Genomic DNA, 25,112 nt, shown 5'->3' on the forward strand with positions numbered 1-25,112 from the left:
GCAAATTTCTGTAGCAGGCTTGAATTTCTCCTCAAAAAATAGGTTTTTCTTTTCTATCGCATTGTCAGGCTGCAAATTTTCCAAACTTTTATGCTCTGCTTCCTCTTGAATCCTTTACCTACTTATAAATTTCTTCTGCCAGATACCCTAAATCATCTCTCTGAAGTTCAAAGTACCACAGATCTCTAGAGCAGAAGCAAAATGCCACCAGTTTCTTTGCTAAAGCATAACAAGAGTCACCTTTGCTCAAGTTCCCAACAAGTTCTTCATCTCCATCTGAGACCACTTCAGCCTAAACTTTACTGTCTATATCACTATCAGCATTTTGGTCAAAGCCATTCAGCAAGTCTCTAGGAAGTTCCAAACTTTCCCACACTTTCCTATCTTTTTCTGAGCTCTCCAAACTGTTCCACCTCTGCTTATTACCTAGTTCCAAAGTCACTTCCACATTTTCAGGTATCCTTATAGCAGCACCCCACTACCTGTTACCAATTTACTCTATTAGTCCATTTTCATACTGCTATGAAGAAATACCCAAGACTGGGTAATTTATAAAGAAAAGCAGGTTTAATGGACTCACAGTTCCACATGCCTAGGAGGCCTCACAATCATGGTGGGTGGTGAAGGAGAAGCAAAGGCACATTTTACATGGTGGCAGGCAAGAAAGCAGGTACAAGGGAACTGTGCTTTTAATGAAACCATCAGTTCTCATGAAATTTATTCACTATCACGAGAGCAGCATGTGAAAAACCCACTCCCATGGTTCAGTTACCTCCCACCAGGTCAATCCTACAACATATGGGGACTATAGGAGCTACAATTCAAGAATTGGATGGGGACACAGCCAAACCATATCATATGTACATTGTCAAATGGCTAAGGCAAGCTAATTATACATAAAAGACCCATATATCCCTTTGATCTTACTGGTTAATAGCTTTCCTGCTCAGCAAATATTTTATAGCAGCTTTTACATCTTTATTTCTCAAGCTATAGATTATGGGGTTTAACATGGGGGTCACAACCCCATAAAACATGGAAACAAGCCCCTCTGTAGCTTGCAAGTTGTCTTTCCCAAGGAGGTCCTGGGACTTAGGTTTTGCATACATAAAGAAGATGGTACCATAAAATATGATCACCACAGTCAGGTGAGCTGAGCATGTAGAAAATGCCTTGTGTCTTCCTGTGGCCGAGTTCGTTCGCAAGATGGTGTAGAGGATGAACATATAGGAGAAAAAAATCACGAGCAGAGGAAGAACTAGGAAAGCAATATTTGACACTGCTAGGGTAACAATATTGACAGATATATCAGAACAAGCTAATTTTAGGACAGCTAAGATCTCGCATAAGAAATGATTAATAATATTGTTCCCACAGAAAGGCCATCGCATGGCAAGTGATGTTTGCACAGTTGAATTGATTCCACCAGAAAGCCATGATACAGAAGTCAGCAGTACATACACCACCTTGTTCATGATGATGGGGTATCTCAGAGGGTTACAGATGGCCACATAACGATCAAATGCCATCATGCCAAGGAGGAAACATTCTGTTGACCCCATTGCAAACCCAAAGAACATCTGCACTGCACATCCAGAGAAGGAAATGTTTCTTTTCTTTGAGATTAAGCTCACCAGTGTTGAGGGAATGGAGGAGGTTGTATAGCAGATATCCAGGAAAGAGAGGTTGCCCAGGAAGAAGTACATGGGCATGTGAAGACGAGAATCCAAGATGCTTGCTATGATCAGAACACCATTGCCAATTAGAATCACTACGTACATAACTAGAATCAGAGCAAAGAAAATGATCTCAAGTTTGGGGTAACCAGAGAGTCCCAGAAGAATGAATTCTCTCACAAATGTCTGGTTTATCTTGTCCATGTCCCAGCTTTCAGGATGCCAAAGGAAGACCCAATGTATAATATTTTCACAGCCAAGCAACAAATGTAAAAAATAACTTGAATAAACATTACTCTAGGGTGAAATAGAGACTGTTTGTTTTAAAGCTCTGCCATTGAGTTATCTTCAATAGTATTTGTGCCTAGAATACAGCCACACTAGGATGTTTAGAGTTTCTATGCCCTGTATCTAATATGTGAAGATCTACCTAGGATCAGAAGTAAATACAGACACAACTTTTCTTATTGTTGAGGACATCCCAAGTTGAGTTTTCTAAAAGCCTTAGATTATTGCAGACAACAAACCTAACTTCTTCATTTAGTCAAGCCCAGTGAGAGAGCTGCAAAGAAGAAAAAAGACAACTCAACAAGAACCAGAATTTTGACCCAGCGTTTAATAGAAATGTTCAGAATTTTAAAGCAGGTTAGATGTTCACATACATTTGTTTGTCTGCCTAAAACTCTGAATGTCTTTCCAGTCAGATAAATGTGTATTTTTATAGGGAAGATATTTGATAATAGTAAATTGAGCCCCACACACTGCAATTTAACATCTGTTCAAAGGTAAAGTTATTTGTTGATCTCATTCTAACATCCCACTCTTACTATTTTGTTATTCCCTATGACAAGATCATGGTGTAGACCAGCTCTACAAGTATATGATGGAGAATCTTTGGAGAACAATACATGATCTCTATTTGTTTTACCATGGCTTCAGAGTTAATCTTGAGAATTCATTTAAGTAAACCTGAAAAAAGAGGAATAATAGTCAAACATATTTGTGTGTATGTGTGTGCAGCACTTTACAAAAGCAAATGAATCTTCTCATTATCCTTAATTTGCTTTTCTCAAATGTAAAAGACAGAATGTGGCCTATATGTACAAAGGGAAACTTAAAGCTCAGCTCTTTGGATGGCAACACCAAAAGTTATTTTACCTTGTTTTCGCAAAGTACTATCCAAAATTTTTAGCTTTGATGGAATTTCAATTTTTCAAATTTCATATGCACATAAATCACCTGAGGATACTGTTAACATGTAAATTTTATGTTAGCACGTCTGGGGCAAGGCCTGTGATTCTTCATGTCTATTAAGTTCCCAGGGTATGTTGAACCACTGAGATGAGGGCACATTTTGTGTAGCAAGACATTGGTTTATCTATAGTGATTTAGTAGAGTATCCAGAGATTTCTGATCCAAATAGATTTTCTTTTGTGTTATTATATGGACTGGCTTAACAACCTGGAAAATGACTGAAAGCCTAATTCTTTTGTGTTTGCCAGCATACTCCAGGGCCACATCTTGCTGTTCAGTATACTTCAGAAAATAAATGCTATTGAAACATTTTATGAAAGCAGGATAAACTTTTGCTGGACTGCTATAATATGGGTATGATATTACTGATTTCCTAACTTGAGCACAGTCCTCTTCCAACACAAGTAAGGGTGGAAAAAGTATGACACAACATGTCTACCATCAAAAAGTTCATAATTCAATAACAAAAACACAAAAACTACACATGGAACAATTTGATAAAGAATATTATTATATCATGTGGCCAGGGTGAATATTATAAGTAACCTCAGAAGGAGGAAGTAAAGGAGAAATAAATAAATCACGTGAGGGTCCTGAAAGAATTTCAAAGTTATACCAGGTCTGGAAGCACAAAAGGAATGGGGCAGGTTTGGAAGAGAAGAGAGAAACAGGGCTATTCCAGAAGGGAGAGCAGCTTAATGTTTTAGAGGAGCAGATTGGCAGTACCAGGGGAGTTTCAGCAGAAACACAACTGAAAAGTTAATGAGGCAGGCATATAGAAGGGCCCAAAGGTTAGGAAGAAAAAAAATGGCATTCCCTTTTGTATGTAAGGGACTTATTATTAGATAAGAACACCCAGCACAAGGTGATTGCTTAGCCCCTGTAACTTTAGCTACCTTTCAAACCTGACATTATATAATTTGATTTTATGAGGTTTTGAATAGACATGTGACACAAGGAATTAAGATGCTTAGATTAATTAGGTTATTATCAATTACTGCCTGGTACACACATACACACACACAGCCCATCATCATCTTTTCATAACCTCCAGTTTTTAGGTTAACCAAAATTGCAGGTTTAGGGCTCACGTGGGCTAACAGTTTTGAGAATATCTGCAGAGGCTCAACCCCTACTCTAACATTCAGTTTGTTATGTGATGATAAGTGAAAAATTTCTCTACAGTGTGTGATGTCTTGGAGTCAGAAGCCAAACCAGACAGAGGGATTCTCACTTCAGAAACAGTTTAAAGAATACCAGTAGAACATCTGAACTTTTAAGAGAAGCACAAATAAATGTTGGATCTCCAAATTAGAGATGAGAAAATTAAGCCTCAAAGAAATTTTAAATCTATATTTCCTCAGCTTAAGACTAGAAGTACCTATTGAAAAAAAAAACAAATGCTTTTTGTTTATTTAAGTGAATAAAATCACTTAAACAACTTCTATTGCAGACTTCTATGTGCCAGATCCTGTGCTTGAAATTTGCTTACCTGGCTGAGGTCACATGACTAGCACAGGCAAAGGCAAAATCCAAAGCCCATTCTCCTTCCACTACTTCTCTCTCTAAAAGGTAGCATTAAAATCTGTATAGAAATCATGTGTCAACAACAGAGAACAGTCAGTGAGTAACATAATAAATGGAGTTCATAAAGGTGAAACTTTAGTCTGTTAAAAATGTACAAGGAGAATGATTAATTCTTGAGGACTTAGTACTTCTCATCATGGAAGAAGGTTCACGGTTGTGGGATTGAATCATATGCCTTAGAACAGTCTATTTGCTGTGAAACCTTTCTACAGTACTTCGTAGCATAGGTCAAAATTCTCTCTCAAGCAGGCTACAGAAATCCTTTGAGGATGCATTGGATAAGTAACATCAACACGCTAGCAGCCCAGTCATGAAAGCAAACGGAAGAAAACAGAAAGATAATAACTTACCAGGAAAGGTGGTGATGATGTGCCAGATCCCGCCTAGATCTCCAGCCCAGGCTTTGCCTTCCAGACAAATGTAATGACAATGCATTTTAGGCTACCTAAACAGCTTCTTCTGCCATCTGCTCCAAGCCTTCCCCTCCTAGGAAGAAATTATCTCACCAATTCAATCCACCTTAAGCCAAGCCTGTCTTGCTACCCTTGGTTTTCTTCTTATCCCAGCTCTTTAAATTGGTTCTCTCATGTATTGTGAGATAACACGAGACATGGGGAAGGAGCTTGCTTGTCTTGCCCATTCCTCTACACCTATGGCCTAACACGGTGGCTACACATAATAGATGGGTTTTTCTAGGCTCTTAGGCAATTTCCCTGTGCAGTATTTACAGATTAATGTTCAGAACTTTAATATGCACAAAGTGTTTATTTGCAGCAAGTAATCTGTTAAAAAAAAAACAGAAAATATATCTTTCTGTCAGTACTAATAAGCTGCCAACTTATAAAGAGATTAACTGGTTTATGCACTGCCAGTATAAAGGCATCACCTAATTCACACTTGAACAGATATGGCATGGGGTTAGCCTAGTTAAAAAGTGCTTGGGATTCAGAAACAAAAATCCTAGTTTTGAGGTTATTTTTTCTTCTAATATGTAACTCGTTTTTCATTTGTTAAATAGTTATGGAAATACCTGCCCTACTTTTCTCACAGGTTTGTTTTGAGAAAAAATTCAGCTAGCATATGGAAACTGCTTTATGGATTAACCAGCACTATGCAGATCATAATAATGATAATATTATTATCATAGCCATATTTGATAATAATACCACATTGATAGCTGTATTGCCTAATGATATTCACACCATAAATCCACATGTAATAATAGCTTTAATTATAAATATAAAAGGTACAGTTTCATGGTATTCAGGACTTACCTTTACAATGATAAATTATGTCTCCCTCCTAGAAGAACCAGGTACTATTTCCTAGTATTTACGTCAGCATTATGAATTAAAGTCAGGTTCAACAAAAGATGTCAGGTTCCATAGATGTGGAACAGTACATATTTGTTATGCAACAGTTATTGTAATTGTTCCCCATTTCGCAAAGCAATTTAAAGTTGGAGTGAGAGATCTGTGGAATGGAGAAACTTCTGGTGCGTTAGGGACAGTGTCCCACAGACCCAATTAAGAGGGGTGCTGGAAATAGACTGTGGGTGAACTAAAGCTCACAAATGAAATAACACTCTCCTGCCCACATAACTTCTAGGAGCAGGGGCAGATGTTCACCAAACAAACTTTATGAAATGTGAGAGCGTCCTAGTTTAAAATATATCTACCAAAGTTAATTCAAAGTAAGAAATTAATAATTCAAGTGATGTTTACTAAAAATGACCTCGATATTATGAACGAAATAAAATGGATAGTATCTATGAATTAAATGCATTGTGATTAACTGTTTGCTTACTTTATTCTTTTTGAAAAATTAATTTTATGCAGCATGCGATTTTCAAGTTTTTTGAAATGAAAAGAAATACAGATAAGCAAGAAAATAAATAGATCCATGGGACAAAAGCAACTCTATATGTTTAAGGCCAAAAAAGTGAAAAAAAATCCAGAATTGATAGTTTGGGGTATTATTGGGAAGAAAGGACATTATTGAATTAAAGTGTCTTAGCAAAGTCTATTAAGCTATATTTTAGATATTAACACTTAGATTGTCACTGTAATTTTCTAGTAGATGTCACATTTCGTGTACAATACTTGAATTCTCAGAAATAACAATTTACTTAAAAAGCAAAAACAGTATTTATATACGCACACAGACACAAACACATACATACAAACATAGCCCTCTCAACCAACACACACACCACAAACCGTGGTGTGTGTACATTAAATACGAATAGATATATGTCAAGAGTTTTTTTAATATTATAGAAGTCTAGAGCTAGAAACTCTGCAAAAATCACTTAGTAAGACTTTTCTTCCTATAGATGAGTAAACTGTGGTAAAAGTGATGAAATACTATTCCCAAGTCATTGTTAGTATTTGACCTAGAGAGAATTCAGAACAGTCACTCTTCAGAAGAACCAGATAATGACAATAACAATAGCATATGAATTTTTACCAGTTCTTAGACAATAGCTAATGGAATAGTCTGAAAATATAGGCCTCATATGACTGGAAGATAAAGGACTCCTACATGGAGTGAGCAGTGAGACATTTTATTAACCTGAAGAGAGATTATTGGAGTGAAACTTACCTATATCTATTATAGAACTTCCCTACTGAATTCAGAAAAGGACTAGAATCAACAAAGGGGAGCCTTTATTCTCTTTTTGGAAGTGGCCTCTAGGGGACATAAGATGAGAGGGCATAGAGGCATTCGAGCAATGCAACAAAGTATGAAAATATATGCATCCCATTGTCTCCCTCAAGAGCAGGAAATATACATAAAAATTGATCTGCTTCTCAGCAGAAGAATCAGAGATGAATGGCAGTTGTAAGTCGGCTACTGAAAGGATCCAGGAGGAGCCATTGCTGGCAAATGGGTTATACTGGCCCATTATCTGGTTTCCAGGTGGATAACAGTGAATACTGACAGAGACAGACACTTATTCTGGATTTAGGTTTGCATACCTCGCAAATAAAGCAAATACTACTAACACCACTAGTATAGGCCAAGAGCAAATGTATTATTTTAATTTGGATGTTGGTCACCTTGTTAAAGAACCCTAAAATTCAACATTGAGTAACAAAGCATCATAAATAGTAGATTTATATCCATTCCCATTCACAAAAACATGGACAAATGAAAATTGAAATGAACAACTGAAACCCCTGCTTACAAAATTGGAGGGTAACAAGGACTAAAGGGATGTGTTTCACAACTGAATGAATGTGTGTTAAAACTTGCTATACATGGAATTAAATGGAGACCACCAATGGATCTATTACTGAGTTATTGTAGAAGATATAGAGAAGATAGTGGGAATGATACAGGTATTCACAGAAACTTTTCTGTTTCTAACACTTTTTCTTTTTATTTGCCTGCTTCTATGTTGGCGGGACATTCATTGCATTCATGAGTTCCAGAACATTATTTGCTGACTACAACACCATGACAATACATCTAAATATTACTACTGCCCATATTCCTAAAAGAATGATAATATGGATCATTCTCTCTTTTCACCTTTTAAAAGTGGGATTAATGGTTTCTGTCTTTCCTACCTGGTGGATGAAGCAGGCCTATATGCTTGCAGTTATCCAACTCTACTCCAATATAACAGAATTGATAAAGGGTTTATATTGCTGGCAACTTTATGTCAGTTCTCTAGCTGAACCTAACAGTCCTACTCCAGGGAAGATAATCTAAGTAAAATAAATTAAAAGTGGAGGAAAGGAGAAGTAATTGTAGCTATAAAAGGAGCCTATGAGAAGCTCTTTGGCATACTCTAAGATACATTTGGACGTTACTACTACAGTATGACAGTAACCTAGGAAGATCAACATTTGGGGTTCAAAATATACACTCAAACTCTATTTAAGCAATAAGCAGTTAACAACAATGTATTTGGTGTAGAATTCAACATTGATTGAATTGTTCTAAAAGACAGTTTCTCAAAAGTGGCCTGGAAAGTATGATTGAAGTTTTCAGAACTCTCCTTTTTGGACTGAAATTTCTTCCTCCTGTATCATGACCATGTCCTGTATCTCTCTTAAAGACTTACATGAGTACACAATCTGGAATCACATGTGTTCTGTAAAATAGCCAACCCTGGGTAAATGTTGCAATGCTTAATTTAAAAATCTGGCCTATCTCGAAATGTATTAATTTCTTTTTAAGAGATGGGGTCTTGCTCTGTCACCCAGGCTGGAGTGCAGTGGCACAATCATAGCTCACTGCAGCCTTGGATTCCTGGGCTCACGTGATCCTCCCATCTCAGCCTCCCAAGTAAATGGGACCATAGCCGTGCATCATCATACCTGATTAATTTTTAATTTTTAATTTTTTGTAGAGACATGGTCTCACTATGATGTCCAGGCTTTTCTTGAAATTTAGAAAATCAGTCAATATACATCCTGAATTATCTTATGGCAACAACCCACTGAAGTAAGAAATAACGTCTTTTATGTGACTCATGTGCCCTTTTCATGGTTCACAGTCCTCACCAGCACTGTCTTATTCTTAATTGGAGGAGGCATCATTCATATCACAACTTGTGTTCTGGAAGTGCATTCTCATAGACTACAATGTGAATGGGGATCGTTGGATTTGTGTCATTTAAATATGTACACACACAGATGTCCTGGACATAATTACATAATATATAACATGATGTAATTATGTCCAGAATTTGCTTTAAAGTAAAGGAAGAAGATAAGTGGGTATGGATAATGATGAAAGAAGGTTGACCATGTGTAATTATTTAAGCTGTGCAATTATACATTGACTTTCATTATTCTCATTCTTTTGTTAAATATTTGAAAATGAAAATTCTCAAAAAAATGTTTTAAAGAAAAAATATTCTTATATATATATAAACACAAATGTGTGTATGTATAAATGGAGATATATGTGTGTATGCGTATGTATTTAAATAGAGCTGCAAACATATTGGGGGAAACATATAATGGTATTTAGGGTAGTAATACGACCTTTCCAATGGTAAGTTAGCCAGGAACTTTAAAAGTTTATACCACCTGGCCTATTAATTTCATGCCTTAGAATTTATCCTGTGAAAACATGTGTTGGACATTAAAAAAAAATTTGGCCCAAGTGCTCATAGTAGATCTAATAAATCAAAATAAAAACATGATGAATACATGATTCCTACTTACTAAGAGAAACATTAGAATGATATATTTGGGAGGTGGCCAATTTTTCTTTTTTTAATTCTTTTTTATTTTTTTTAGAATTTTAGAAAATATTGAATTTTAAAATTTTAGAAAATATTACCTTAATGGGGTGACTTTCAGTGAGACATCTGGCTCTAGTAATTATTAGCTGAGAGTAAAAGAGGGGATAAATAGCAACTTTTAGTCCTCACTATGGAGTCTTAGCTTCAATTCTGAAATTCTTGGACACTGTGAAGCCAGTATTATGTTAGGTGCTTCCTCCAACTTATTGAAACATTAAATGATATTGGGACCTGGATTTTTTTATTATTTTATTTCCTTATTACAAGTAAGGTAACTATGTCTTAGAAAGAAAGAATAATCTATCCAATATCACCTAGGTAGTTTACGGAACTGCAGATTTTGTACTATTGCTCTCTATTTCCAAAGCTTATAGTGTGATTGTTTTCCACTATGTTTCTACACAGAAACACTCATTTCAGACATCACAAGGGATGAGATTCTAAGAGAATTAATTATGTTTGTGAAACGTGGATCAGGGCATGCTGGAGTTTGTAGCAAACTATAGTTATCAGTGATTCTAGATGAGCAGGGCTAGTAAAGGCAAAGGATAAAAATCTGTCTCTCTAACCATGGTTTCTCCAAAAAAGGTTCAGGCTGATTTACCTAAGAGTCCATCTTTGTGACTGTTAAACAAAGACCTACATGTCCTGGTTTCATTAGTGAATTGGTTTTTTGTTCAGCAAATATTTTACAGCAGCTTTTACATCCTTATTTCTCAAGCTATAGAGTATAGGATTCAGCATGGGTGTCACTACCCCATAAAACAGAGAAATGAGCTTGTCTAATGCTTGCAATTTTTCTTCCCCAATCAGGTCTTGAGACTTCGGTTTCGCATACATAAAGAAGATGGTACCGTAAAATATGATCACCACAGTCAGGTGAGCTGAGCACGTGGAAAATGCCTTGCGTCTTCCTGTGGCTGAATTCATTTGCAAGATGGTGTAGAGGATGAACATATAGGAGAAAAAAATGACCATCAGTGGAAGAACCAGGAAGGCCATATTTGATATCACCATGGTGATAATATTGAGGGATATATCAGCACAGGCCAGCTTGAGGACAGCTAATATTTCACATGCGAAATGATTGATAATATTATTCCCACAGAAAGGCAGTCTCATGGCAAGTAATGTTTGCACAGCTGAATTTATTCCACCGGACAGCCAGGACACAGAAGCCATCAATACATACGCCACCTTGCTCAGGATGATGGGGTATCTCAGTGGGTTGCAGATGGCCACATAACGATCAAATGCCATCATGCCAAGAAGCAGACATTCTGTTGACCCCATTGCAAACCCAAAGAACATCTGCACTGCACATCCAGAGAAGGAAATGTTTCTTTTCTTTGAGATTAAGCTCACCAATGTTGAGGGAACAGAGGAGGATGTATAGCAGATATCCAGGAAAGAGAGGTTGCCCAGGAAGAAGTACATTGGTGTGTGAAAATGAGAATCAAAGATGCTGGCTATGATTAGAACACCATTGCCAATTAGAATCACTAGGTACATAACTAGAATGAGAGCAAAGTAAACAATCTCAATCTTTGGGTATCCAGAAAGACCCAGAAGAAGAAATTCTGACACAAGTGTCTGGTTAATCTCACCCATGTCATCTGCTTTCAGGAAATCAAAAGAAGATCTAACATGAAATGTATTTACTGCCAAGAAACAAACAGTACAAATTAACTGAACAATCATTCTTTTGACACATATTAGAAGGAGTGCTTGCTTGAAGTTCTGACATCCAGTTATCTTCAGTAATGTGTGTGACTAGAATACAATGAAATTGGGAATGATGGAAGCACCTATACCGCATCGCCAATATGTGAAGATCTACCCACGATCAGACACACATGCAGACGGAACCTTTCCTGCTGTTGAGGACATGTTCCTGAGTTGAGGACACTCTCCCGAGCTGAGGTTTCTAAAACCCCTGGCCAATCAACAACTCTAAGCTTAACATCTTCATTTCATCAACCCCAGCAAACAAGCAGTAAAGGGGGCAAAAGACTACTCAACAAAGACTGGAATTTTAATTCAGCAATTTATAAAGTGTTTAAAATTTCACAGCAACTTTGACATTTTTGTGTGTTTATATTTTTTTCTAGGCCTGATACTAATACCTTATAGTTAGTTTAATTGTGTATTTTACAGACACTTAATAATAATACATTGAATCACATACCCTGAAATTTGACAATTGTTTAAAGGCATAGTTAGTTGTTGATCTCATAGTATCTTGTTATGACTGTTCCTATGACAAGACCATTGCCCAGAACAGCTCCGCATGAATGTGATAGTCTTTGGAGAACATTATATAGTGTCTTTACATATTTTACTCTGTAGCTTAAGAGTCTGTCTTGATAATTTACTCATTTAAATCAACCAATAAAAACAGTAATAATGTTTAAATATTTCATATAAATATGTATACATGTGTATGTATACCACTTTACCATTTACAAATTATAATATTCTTTATATTAACCCCATTTTTCAACTATAAAATATGGAACTTGGCCAAGATTAACTAGGTAGTAAATAATAAAATGTAATGTAAAGCTAATATTTTCGACACAAAGTCTAGTTCTTGGCTTCACTAATTTTCATATACACGTAAAGCATCTAGGAATTTTTTTTTCTTTTTTGAGACAGAGTCTCACTCTGTCACCAGGCTGGAGTGCAGTGGCACGATCGGGGCTGACTGCAACCTCCACCTACAGGCGTGCACCACCATGCCCAGCTAACTTTTGTATTTTTAGTAGAGACGGGGTTTCACTATATTGGCCAGGATGGTCTCCATCTCTTGACATTGTGATCTGCCCACCTCAGCCTCCCAAAATGCTGGGATTATAGGCATGAGCCACCACACCCGGCAAACATCTGGGAAACCTAAAAACCTTCAGATTCTCTTTTAGTGTTCAGGCCAGTCCTGAGATTCTGCATTTCTTGCAGGTGCCCAGGTGACGCTTATGCCACTGGTCCCAAAATCACTTGAGTAGCAAGGCTTAGTCTATACTAAGTTGGCCAATTATCTAGATGTTTCTAATTCAAGCCAGTTTTTTTTGCCTTATTGTGTAGATTGGCAATAAGAACCTTGAAAATGTCAAGAGCATAATTCTTTGATGTTTTACGGAAACTCCAGATTGACACCATTTTTTAAAATACCCTTTAAAAATATTATTGAAACACATATTTTTAAAAAGCAGCATTTTTAAAGTGCCTGTCATTACAAAGTTCACAATTTAGGTAGGGATATAAGAAAAGAACATATCAAAATAATTTACAGTCACTTTCTATAGCTTACATGAAAATTACAGTTTTTCCCAGAAGGAAGAATTTTATGAGAAATAAATTAGGCCAAGGAGAACTCCGGAGTTTCAGTGTTCAGCTGAACCTGGGAGTATGGAAAAGAATTAGACAGGGTTAAAAGAGAAAAGGGATATCTCAAAAGTGAGAAGTTGGACCAAAGTTAGGAGTAAGCCGACTGGCAGCACAAGGGAGTTTCTGTGAAAGAGTGGTGGGAAACACATCTGAGAAAGAAAGCCTGACAGGTGCATATAGAAAGGCTCTAAAATCAGGCAGAAAAAGTGTCATTTCTTTTGGTGGAAAAGAGGTCTATCATTAGAAAGCACAGAGCATGGGGTAAGCACCTCGCCCATTAGACTTTAGCAGTTCTCTAAATTTGACCTCATAGAATATGGTGTTACAAGATTTTTTAGTAGAAATGTAACTCAGGGAATTAAAGCATTTAGATTAGCGGAGTTGTCACTAATTACAGAATAGGCATGATAATTGATCTTTCTATAATCACTACTAGATTTAATTTTGGTCAAAATCACAAATGTAGGTTTTGCATGGGCTAATAGCTTTGAGAATGTTAGCACATCCACTCTTCCCCACACTGTGACTGTTGGTCACATGATAGTCACTGGGAAGTTTTGTGTAGAGCAGATATTACTAGGAGTCAGAAATCCAACTCAACAGAATCTTTACTATAGGAAAAATTTAGTTAAGGATACACAATAGAAATATTTAAACTTTGAAGAGAAAGGCAAGGAAGAGAATATACAATCTCAATCTTAAAGACAAAAAAAAATGAGCCCACAATAGATTGTTAATTTTTATTATTCAGCTTTAAGAAGAGAGAGAAGGAGGGAAACGAAGCAGGGAGGAAAGAAAGAAGGGAAGATGGGAGGAAGGGTAAAAGGGAAGGGAGGGCAAAAGGAGGAAAGGAAGAGAGTAAAGGAAGGAGGGAAGGAGGGAGGGAAAGGGGAGGGAAGGGAAGGGAAGGAAGGGAAGAAGGGAAGGAAGGGAAGGAAGGGAATGAAGGGAAGGAAGGAAAAGAAGGAAAATCTCTGCATTTCATTTATTTAGACAACTTTTATTGTAGCTTCCTATGTGCCAAATTTTGTGCCAAGGTCACATGTCTAATAACAAGCAGAGGTCCAAAGTCCACTCTCTTCATATTACTATCCTGCCTGACAAGTGGCATTAAAATCTATATAGAAATCAAATGTCAAAAGCAGTGGATGGTTAGTGAGAACCACAGAAAAACTGAGGTCACAAAAACAAATTGAATGTACTCATTCAACAGTGCCCAGAGAAAGGAGCAATTATTTATACTACTTCTGACTCCTCAAATGGGGTACAGAAATGGCCATAGGAAACACTGGCTAAGGGACATGCGCACTCTGATTAGCCCTGTCACAAATGCAAAAGGAAGTGAACGGCAAAACAATTCAAATCCACTGTCTTCTGCTCCTGACGCTTTAAATTGGTTATCTTGTATATTGTGAGATAAGAGACTTAGGGAAAGAGCTTGTCTGTTTTGCTCATCCTTCCACACCTAAGTCTAACTCAGGGGCTGCACATAATACATGGGTTTGAAATAGGTGAAAGGTTACTTTCTGGACTCAAGCAATTTCCCTGTGCAGTATTTGTGGATTAATGAACAGGACAACATTGGTATGCCACATTTATTCTTTCGCAGCAGGCTTTAATTTTAAAATATATACCTTTCATTCAGTACGGATAAGCTGCTATCTTATACAAATAATGAGCAGTTTGTGTACTGTAAGTATAGAGGAATCACCTAACACTTATTTGAATATATATGACATCGGCTTAACATAGCGAAAAAGTGCCTAACACTAGAATCAAAGTCTTCGGTTTGAAGTTCTTTGCCTGCAATTTACAGCCTCAGTTTTCTTATTTGTAAAACAGTGATTAACATACCTGCATTACTATACTTGTAGAATATTCTAAAAATATATATAGTGTACGAAAATTGCTTTAAAGATTAATTAACATAATACAACTAATAATTAAATGATACTAATAATTCACAGCTGTATTTTTGTGATAATAAATTGGTACCTATATTGCTTCAAATTATTCAAATTAAAATGCATGCTGAATAGCACCTTTACTTATAGATTGAGTTTAATTATAAGTTTCATGTGATTCAGGACTTACTTTACAGTGATAAATTATGTCCACCTCCTAGAAGAACCAAGTACTTTTTCTTAGTATTTATGTCAGCATTCTGAATTAAGGTCAGGCTCAACAAGACAGGCCAGATTCTACAGATGTAGAAGAGTAACTATTTGTTATGCAACAGTTATTGTAATTGTTCCCCAATTCCCAAAGCAATTTAAAGTTGGAGTGAGAGGTCTGTGGAAAGGAGAAACTTCTGGTGCGTTAGGGACAGTGTCCCACAGACCCAATTAAGAGGGGTGCTGGGAATAGACCGTGGGTGAACTAAAGCTCACAAATGGAGTAACACTCTCCTGCCCACATAACTTTTAGAAATAGCAGCAGATGTTCACCAAACTTTATGAAATGTTAGAGCTCCCTAGTTTAAAATATATCTACCAAAGCAAAGTTCGTTCAAAGTAAGAGATTAATAATTCAAATCATGATTACTAAAATGTAATGCTAGAAGTGAAAAATGATGTAGATATTATGAATGAAATAAAATGGATATTAGCTATGCATTAAGCACATTATGATTCAACTTTTTTGCTTACTTTAACTTAATTCTTTTTGATAAGTTAAATTCATACAGGATGTCTTCATTGAATTTTTTTGAAATGAAAAGTAATACAGATAAGCAATAAGTAAATCCACAGGACAAAAGCAAATTCATAAGTTTTAAACCACAAAAGTAAAAAGTCTGAAATGAATAGTTTGGAGTATGAATTCAGATAGGCATATTATTGAATTAACATGCTTTAGCAAAGCCTATTAAGCTACATTGTAGATATTAACACTGAGGTTCACTGTAAAATATTTGGGTTCTGAAAAATAACAGTTGGCTTAATAAAGCAGGGGAATAATTTATTCATGCACATACACACACACCCCACAAAACATCATACAGGTGCATTAAAATACAAACGGAAACATGTCAGGGATGTATATTTAAAATCATAAAATCTTAGAGCTGAAAACTTCTGCGGAAGTCATATAGTAAGATTTACCTTTTTATAGATTAGTAATCTGAGGTATGAAGTAATTAAATAATGTTTCAAAGTCACACAGTAGTATTTAAATAAGTCACAATTACAAGTCTAATAGTCAAGATAATAAGCACAGGAACTCTCTGTACTATGTTTGCAACTTGTCTATAAATCTAAAATTATTCCAAAATAACATTTAAATAAATAGAAATTAAAATATATCCAGGATTCTTATGTTTTTTCATTGCAGTATCACAGAAGTTTTCAGACCAAAAATACCATAGAAGTCAGCTAAGATTCCACTTTCTATAAGTGAGTAAACTGAGATATAGTGATGAAATATGTTCAAAGTCACAAAATCACTGTTAATATTTCAATTGGTAACAACTACAAAGTCTAATATTCTAGGTGACAAATTTCCAAAATAAAGAAATAATAAATGTTGGAGATAATTAATATGTTAAATACCCTGATCTGGTCACTACACATTCTATGTAGTGAAACATCATTATTACCCTACGAATATGTACAATTATTATCTGTCAATTTATTTTTTTTGTTTGTTTGAGATGAAGTCTCACCCTGTCGCCCAGGCTGGAGTATAGTGGTGCGATCTCAGCCCACTGCAACCTCTGCTTCCCGGGTTCAAGCGATTCTCTTGCCTCAGCTTCCACACTAGCTGGGACTACAGGTGCCCACCACCATGTCTGGCTAATATTTATATTTTTAGTAGAGACGGGGTCTCGCCATGTTGGCCAGGCTGCTTTCAAACTCCTGACCTCAAGTGACCCACCTCAGCTTGCCGAAGTGCTGGGATTACAGGCATGAGCCACCATGCCCAGCCAAAAAATAAATAAATAAATAAATAATTTTTTAAAAAGAAGAAAAGAAACTACATTGCCATGATACTCTGCTATTTTACCACATCTGATTACACATTAAAAAAAGGCTTGGCCGGGCATGGTGGTTCACACCTGTAATCCCAGTACTTTGGGAGGCCGAGGCCTGTGGATCACCTGAGGTCAGGAGTTCAAGACCAGCCTGGCCCATATAGTGAAACCCCATCTCTATTAAAAATACAAAAAATAGCCATGCGTGGTGGCGGGTGCCTGTAATCGCAGCTACTCAGGAAGCTGAGGTGGCAGAATCACTTGAACCTGAGAGGTGGAGGTTGCAGTGAGCCGAGATCGGCCATTGCACTCCAGCCTGGGCAACAAGAGCAAAACTCTCTCTCAAAAAAATAAAATAAAATAAAATAAAAAAGAGAGATTGACAATCACAAAAAGATACCCTTCAAAGATACCCTTCAAAAAAATTTACTTTCTTGTCTAATAATTATCAAAATTTGAAATATATTCATAGTGTTTTCATAGATTATATATTACTAATAATTAAAACAATCCTTTAGCAGGAATTTTCTAACACTTGGTCATGGTAAATATATTTTTCTTTAAGTTAATTTATCTCAATTTTTTGTTGTCAAGAAATGATGATCAATAAAAGACTTTAAAGATTTTAAAAAGTATTTTAAAACTTTTTTTGTATTTAAAAACCTGTGTTTATTTATTATATTTTAAATTTTGAGAAGTTTTTTCTAGTGTCCTACTTTTTAAATTAGTTTTGTCAAAAAATATGTACTGGAAAATAATATGTGCCAGCTGTTTTTTAAGTACTGGAGATCCAGTGTCTGATTTAGCATTTTGTAAAGAACTGAAGGCTAGAAAAAGAGTTGTATTAAGTACACATGACATATAATGGCCACATTATCTATATGAGAAAAAACTAATACTTCTTACAAAACCATTAAAGTAACAACATTTTTTTCCAATAAATATATTTAAAATAAAATGTTAGAAAATTCCATTACTTTAATGGGGAATATATTTACATCAACATTTTAGAGTAAAAATTGACCTGTGAAATATAAACTTAAACATCTCTATCAATAAAATAATAAAAATAAAATAAAAGTGAGTTGTATATTTTTTCTTTTTCCTCCCCAGAGAATAGAGTGCTTTCTTTGTACAAATATCAACGCTATTTTATTGATTTATATTTTGACAAATTTATATGAGCCCCAAGAAATAATTTTAGTGAAACATTACTTTTATCTTCATTTCTTATGCTTCACTTCTTAATAGTAATACCTAGCAGCATCTTGAAGTTCATAAAATATGTTCATATCCATTATGGCATGTAAGAAACATTTTTGAGTATCTGTTATCTTCAAGAGAATGAAATTGCTACAGTCCCTCTCAAGGAAATCTGAACATAGTAAGATAAACATATCTATAAAGTAGTGAATATAATATAATTTGATGACTAGTAGAAAATGATGTATAAGTACAATGTTACTATGTTTCTACAGTAATTTCCTCTCCCCTACTTTAATGTGCCTAGTAATTCTAAAAGGTCACAAAAAAGTTAATTAGAATGTAATGCTTTATAAGCCACATCAATAAACAGCTTAAGAGCAAAACTGCATATACTTATACCAGAGTATGGTAGCTGAAGACCCACAATATTGCTATCTATATCTCTTCAGTTCATCTCCTGATTAATTCCCTAAGACATTACTAGCTTAATTTTCTCCAGAATGTTCCACTATCTCAGTTCAGACACTGGAATGATTTTGGTGTTCTCATCTTAATTTGAGTCTTTTTCTGCCTTATTTCTTAGTCAGAGATAGATTAATTGGAGGGGAGGTTAAAAGGTATCTGACTGATGTTTTAATTTGAAGTAAATAATCTAGGCAATGTGTTTCTCTGATGGTACCTATTAAATTGAGTATTAATAAGGAGCTAAATTATTCCTTTCACATCTTGATCACCAACTCAAACACTAGTAGTAGTGGTGAATTATTTTTAAAAAGAGGAAGATACAGCATGGCAGGGCGTGGTGGTTCAGGCCTGTAATCCCAGTACTTCAGGAGGCCGAGGTGGGCAGATCGTCTGAGCTCAGGAATTCAAGACAAGCAACATGGTGAAACCCCATCTCTACCGAAAATACAAAAAAATTAACCAGGCGCGGTGGCAGGCACCTATAGTCCCAGCTACTCGGGAGGCTGAGGCACAAGAATCGCTTGAGCCTGGGAGGTGGAGGTTGCAGTGAGCCGAGATGGTGCTACTGCACTCCAGCCTGGGTGACAGAGTGAGACCCTGTCTCAAAAAATAAATAAAAAAATTTTAAAAGAGGAAGATATAGAACAAAACATGTGGTGGGTGGGGGGTAAGGTGGAGAGTAGAGAATACAAAAAGAAAGTAAAAGTGGTACTCAAAAATCATTTATGTGGTTTCAAAGACAAAGCTGTACTACTACGTGGAAGTTCACCAAACCAATTTGTTGTTATTTCTACTCTCCATCGGTAAAATAATTGATCAAGCATGGCAAAAAAATTTGAACTTCCAGCCTAGTTCAATTTATTGTATAGAAAACTAATGAAAATATGCAGTTGCTTATATTATATTACCTTAGTTGTAGAGTAGCTACTGGAGCCTGGTAAAGAAATCCAACTTTGACTGTATAAAGATGAGCTAAATGAGTGTGCTAGCTGTATGTTTATCTCTGTGATCACCTGGAAATTGAGGACTGGCACTTGGTCAAGAGAAGGATGAAATGTCCTGGCTTGTCATTAATAATGTGCTATTTGAAGTCCAAAACTCCCCTAGAGGCATTCTTTACTAATTTGTTTACAATAATGCTTTGTATGTGGCTTAATTTTTTACATGCCAGATTTTAGCTGGGGGCCAGTGGGGTATAAAAGACCTCTAATCAAACTTGAGCCTTGGTTCTACTGAGACCAAAATATGTTGATATATATCTCGGTGTTTCAAAATTGAAAGATAAAGTATGGCTTCATAAAATAAGTTTTCTCTTCAATTTTTTGGAAATTTTCAAAAATGATTGGCATTAATTTGTCTTTAAATATTTGATAGAATGGACCAGGGAAGCCATCAAGACATAGGTTTTCTTTCGGGTGAGGTTTTTTATTACTGATTCATTCTCCTTACTTGGTATTGGTCTATTCTGATTTTTTATTTCTTCATAATTGTCTTAGTAGGTTGTATGTTTCCAGAAACTTATCCATTTCTTTTAGGTTATTCAATTTGTGGTATATAATTGTTCACAGTAGTTTCGTATAATCCTTTGTATTTCTGTGGTATCAGTTGTACTTTCTTCTTTTTAATTTGTAACTTTATTTATTCTCTCTCTTTTTTTAGTCTAGTGAAAGGTCAATTTCTAGTTTTATTAATCTGTTCTGTCATTTTATAATTTCTATGTCATATGGTTCTGCTCTGATTTTTATTATTACAAGAAAAGAAAACTACAAACCAATATCACTGATGAACACAGATACAAAAGTCCTCAATAAAATACTATCAAACTAAGTTCAACAATACATTAAAAGAATCATACACCATGACCAAGTGGATTTATCCTTGGGATGCAAGTATGGTTCAACATATGCAAATCAATAAATAGGATGCATCATATTAACCGGATAAGCAATAAAAATCATAAGAAGCATCTCAACAAATACAAAAAGGCATTTAACAAAATTCAATATATTTTATGATTAAAAAATAACTCAACAAATTAGGTGTAGAAACAATGTACTGCAACATAATAAAGACAATATATGACAAGCCTCTAGCTAATATTATACTCAATGGTATAAAGCTGAAAGCTTTTTCTCTAAAATGAAGAACAAGACAAGTATGCTTACTCTCATCACTTCTATTTAATATCATCCTGGAGGTCTTAGCCAGGGGATTTAGGCAAAAAAAGAGAGAGAGAAACAAAAGGCATAGGCATCCAAATGAGAAAGAAAAAACTAAAATAATCTTTGCTTGCAGATGACATATTCTTATACATAGAAAACCCTGAAGGCTCTACCAAATTATTGTTAGGACTAATAAATGAATTTGGTAAAGTGGCAAGATACAAAATAACATGTAAAATTTATTTGTGTTGTTATACACTAATAATAAACGATGAGAAAAAGAAATTAAGAAAACAATCCCATTTACAATAACATAAAAAATACCAGGATAAATTTAGCCAAGGAGGTGAAAGATCTATACACTGAAACTACTGGTGCACAAGTAATTGCGGTTGTTGCCATTAAAAGTAATAGCAAAATGCACAATTACTTTTGCAACAACCTAATATAACACATTGAGGAAATATTTTTGGAGAAGACACAAATAAATGGAAAGATTCAAAGAAGTTCAAAGAAATAAAATAAAATTCTCATGGAATCACAAATGGTCTCAAAAATAGCCAAAGCAATCTACAGCAAGAAGAACAAAACAGGGTATATTACACCATCTGATTTCAAAATATGCTACAAAGCAATAGTGATCAAAAGAGCATGGTACTGGCATCAAAAAAAAACTGAAATATATATCAATGGAATACATTAGAGAGCCCAGAAATAAATCTATGCATTTATAGTCAATTGATCTTTCACAAGGGTGCCAAGAACACACAATAGAGAAAGGACAATCTCTTAAATGAATGGTGCTGGGAAGGCTTGATAGCTACAAGCAGAAGAATAAAATTGGCGCCTTATCTCAAACAATATACAAAAATTAATTCTAAATGAATTACAGATTTAAATGTAAGACCTGACACTATAAAACTACTAGAAGAAAACATAAGGGAAAAGCTTCTTGACATTGGTCTGGGCAACGATTTTTTTAATGAACCCAAAAGCACATGGAACAAAAGCAGAAACAGACAAATGGGACTGCAGCAAACTTAAAAGCTCCTTATAGAGAAGGAAACAATCAACAGAGTGAAGAGACAATTTATGGAATGGGAGAAACTATTCACAAACCATATGTCTTAATTCATTTTCTGTCACTTAGAATACCTGAAACTGATACATTTTTAAAGAAAAGAAATGTATGTTTCATAGTTATGGAGACTGAGAAGTCCAGCAACAATGTGCCACAACCAGTGAGGACCTTCTTACTAGTGGGGACACTGCAGAGTCCCAAGGTGGTATAGGGCATTACATGGTGAGGGGACTGAGCATCCTAGCTCTGTTCTCTCTTCCTCTTCTTATAAAGCTACCAGTGTCATCCCATGATAGCCCATTAATTCGTTAACCCATTAATCTATTAATTCATTAATCCATGAATGGATTACTTTAATGCCCAAGCATCTCTTAAAGGCCCCATTTCTCATTACTGCCACATTGAAGATTAAGTTTCAACATAACTTACAGAGGGAACAAACATTCAAACCAAAGCACCATACATCTGATAAGGAGTTGATATTTTCAATACATTAGGAACTCAAACAACCCCAAAACAAATAATAATAATAACCCTCACTTTAAAACTTTGCAAAGGACCAGAATACATACTTCTAAAATAAGTCATACAAATGGCTAACAGGTACATAAGAAATGCTCAACATCACTAATCATCAGAATAATAGAAATTAAAACAACAATAAAATATCACCTCACACCTGTTGTAATGTCTATTATCAAAAAGACAAAAGATAAGCATTGGTGAGAATGTGGAGAAAAAGAAGCTCTTGTATACTGTTGGTGAGAATGTAGATTGGTACACCCATTATGGTATGAAGCTTTCTCAAAAATTGAAAATAGAACTACTATATGATCCAGCAATCCCACTTCTGAGTAATAGCCAAAGGAAATGAAATCAGTATCTCAAAGAGCTATCAGCATTCTCATGTTCACTGCAGCATTGTTTACAATAGCCAAGATATAAAATCAACATAAGTTTTCACTAAAAGGTGAATGTATAAAGAGCATGTGATATTGATATACATACACATAAAATGAAATTTTATTAAGCTTTATAAAAAAGAAAATATTTTCATTTGCAACAACATGGATAATTCTGGAGAACATTATGCTAAGTGAAATAAGCCAGGTGAAAAAAGACAAATACTGCATGATCTCACTTATATATATAACATCCTAAAAAGCTGAACTCACAGAAACAGAGAGTAAAATGGTGGTGACCAGGGGCTGATGGGAGGGGAAAATGAGAAGTTTGTCAATGTGTAAAAAGTTTCAATTATGCAGGATGAATAAGTTCCAGAGATCTAATCTATATCATAGCAACTATGGTTTGTAATGCTGTATTGTATGCTTAAAATTTGCTGAGATTTGGTCTTAAATGTTCTCAACACACAAAAAAGGATAACTTTGTGAGGTTATAAATATGTTAATTATCTTGATTGTTTCAATCATTTGATTATCTATATATATGTAGATCAAAAAGTTGCATTGTGATATGGTTTGGCTCTGTGTCCCCACTCAAATCTCATCTCAAATTTAATTCCCACATGTCAGATTAGGGGACTAGTGGGAGGTGATTGGATTATGGGGGCCGACATCCCCCTTGTTGTTCTCATGATAGTGAGTTCTCATGAGATCTAATGATGTAAAACTGTGTGGCACTACCCCTCTCTCTCTCTCTTTCTCTCACTCTCTCTCTCTTTCTCTCTCTTCTGCCAACACATAAGACATGCCTTGTTTCCCCTTCACCTTCTGCCATGATTGTAAGTTTCCGGAGGCCTCCCCAGCCATGTGAAACTGTGAGTTAATTCCATAACTCACAGTTTAATTAACTCTTTTCTTTATAAATTATTCAGTTTCAGGTAGTTCTTTACAGCAGTGTGAAAACAGGCTAATACACACCGTATACATTTAACATATATAATTTTTACCTGTCAATTACACCTCAATAAAGCTGTGCAAATGCAATAAAAATGAGCAGATAGATGGTACTCTGGTTTGAATATCTCTTCCAAAACTCATGTTGAAATTTGATCGCCAGTGTGATGATATTGGGAAGTGGGGCCTTTGAAATGTGATTAGGTCATGAGGTCACTGCCCTCATGACTGGCTTAACGTTATTATTATTTCAGGAGTGAGTTGGTTATTGCAGAAACAGGTTTCTGATAAAATGGATGAGCCCTATTCTCTGTCTTGCAAGCTCACTTGCCCTTCTGCTCTTTTGCCTTTCTGCCCTTCTTCCCCTCTGCCATGGAGTGACCTTCATCAGATGCCAGCACCATGCTCTTGGACTTCTCAGCCTCCAGAACTCTCAGCCAAATAGAGTTCGGTCCTTTATAAATTACCCAGTCTGTGATACTCTGTGAGAGCAGTAGAAATTGAACTAAAACAGAGAGTAAATCTACTAAAATTTTAATAGATCAATATGAGAGAAACAGATGATCTAGCTGCCACATCATCTCCTCAATCTGTAATGACTGCAAGAGATTGCCTCAATGTATTTCAGGCCTGATGAATTTAAAACATACGATGATGATTAGTAGAAAAATCTAAATTCCTCCAGAACCAGTGCCAATTAAAATGGTATGAAGTAAAGTATGAAATTATGATTCTGAGTCAGGGTATGGCCAGGTTTATTTGCTGCAACCCCATCAAGGGACCTAAAGCATTTTGAATTGGTACATAAAATTGCCTGGAGGTAGTGTGGAGACTTTAATGGAATTTTTGGACACTAGTGCACAATGTGCTAAAATGAAACATGCTAACAAATAAAGTGTAATATAATTAGGGGGATAAAGTGGTGCAATTGTAGAAAGATTAAAATTTAAAATTATGCTTAAGGTATACATTTTAGAATGAAAGTTACATATGTTTGTTGTATCACCCCTACCAGAAAGTATTTCTGAAATGTATCTGATGTCTGAATGGAAGATATTTCCCTTATGTGAATAATCAGATTATGCAAATCTTCATTCTGTTTTAATAGAGTATGCTACATGGGAGCCTTTAGAATTATCTGAACACACTCAAGTGGCTAATGTAGGATACTAGGGTTCATCGAGAAATTTTGGCTTTAA

At 35.5% G+C, this 25,112-nt stretch overlaps 2 protein-coding genes and 1 long non-coding RNA gene across 3 annotated transcripts in view; all 3 read right to left on the bottom strand.

The window, feature by feature from the left end:
* Positions 1 to 923: 923 nt before the first annotated feature.
* On the bottom strand, positions 924 to 1,880 carry OR13C4 (olfactory receptor family 13 subfamily C member 4). Its single transcript, NM_001001919.1, has one exon. It carries the CDS (start codon positions 1,878 to 1,880, stop codon positions 924 to 926), a length of 957 nt encoding a protein of 318 aa, NP_001001919.1.
* Positions 1,881 to 4,881: 3,001 nt separating this feature from the next.
* Positions 4,882 to 25,112, bottom strand: part of LOC107987105 (uncharacterized) — a 217,429-nt gene continuing 197,198 nt past the window's right edge. The window contains exon 5 of the long non-coding RNA XR_007061705.1: positions 4,882 to 5,003. This is a non-coding gene — a long non-coding RNA (uncharacterized LOC107987105). The remainder of the gene's footprint in view (positions 5,004 to 25,112) is intronic.
* Positions 10,420 to 11,527, bottom strand: OR13C3 (olfactory receptor family 13 subfamily C member 3). Its single transcript, NM_001001961.3, has one exon. It carries the CDS (start codon positions 11,392 to 11,394, stop codon positions 10,441 to 10,443), a length of 954 nt encoding a protein of 317 aa, NP_001001961.2. The 5' UTR covers positions 11,395 to 11,527; the 3' UTR covers positions 10,420 to 10,440.

This window comes from Homo sapiens, chromosome 9 (assembly GCF_000001405.40).
Source record: "Homo sapiens chromosome 9, GRCh38.p14 Primary Assembly".
Taxonomy (NCBI): domain Eukaryota; kingdom Metazoa; phylum Chordata; class Mammalia; order Primates; family Hominidae; genus Homo; species Homo sapiens.

Bases quoted from the DNA above. Each gene is read 5' to 3' on its own strand.
- OR13C3 (NM_001001961.3), bottom strand. From the start codon at position 11,394: ATGGGTGAGATTAACCAGACACTTGTGTCAGAATTTCTTCTTCTGGGT.
- OR13C4 (NM_001001919.1), bottom strand. From the start codon at position 1,880: ATGGACAAGATAAACCAGACATTTGTGAGAGAATTCATTCTTCTGGGA.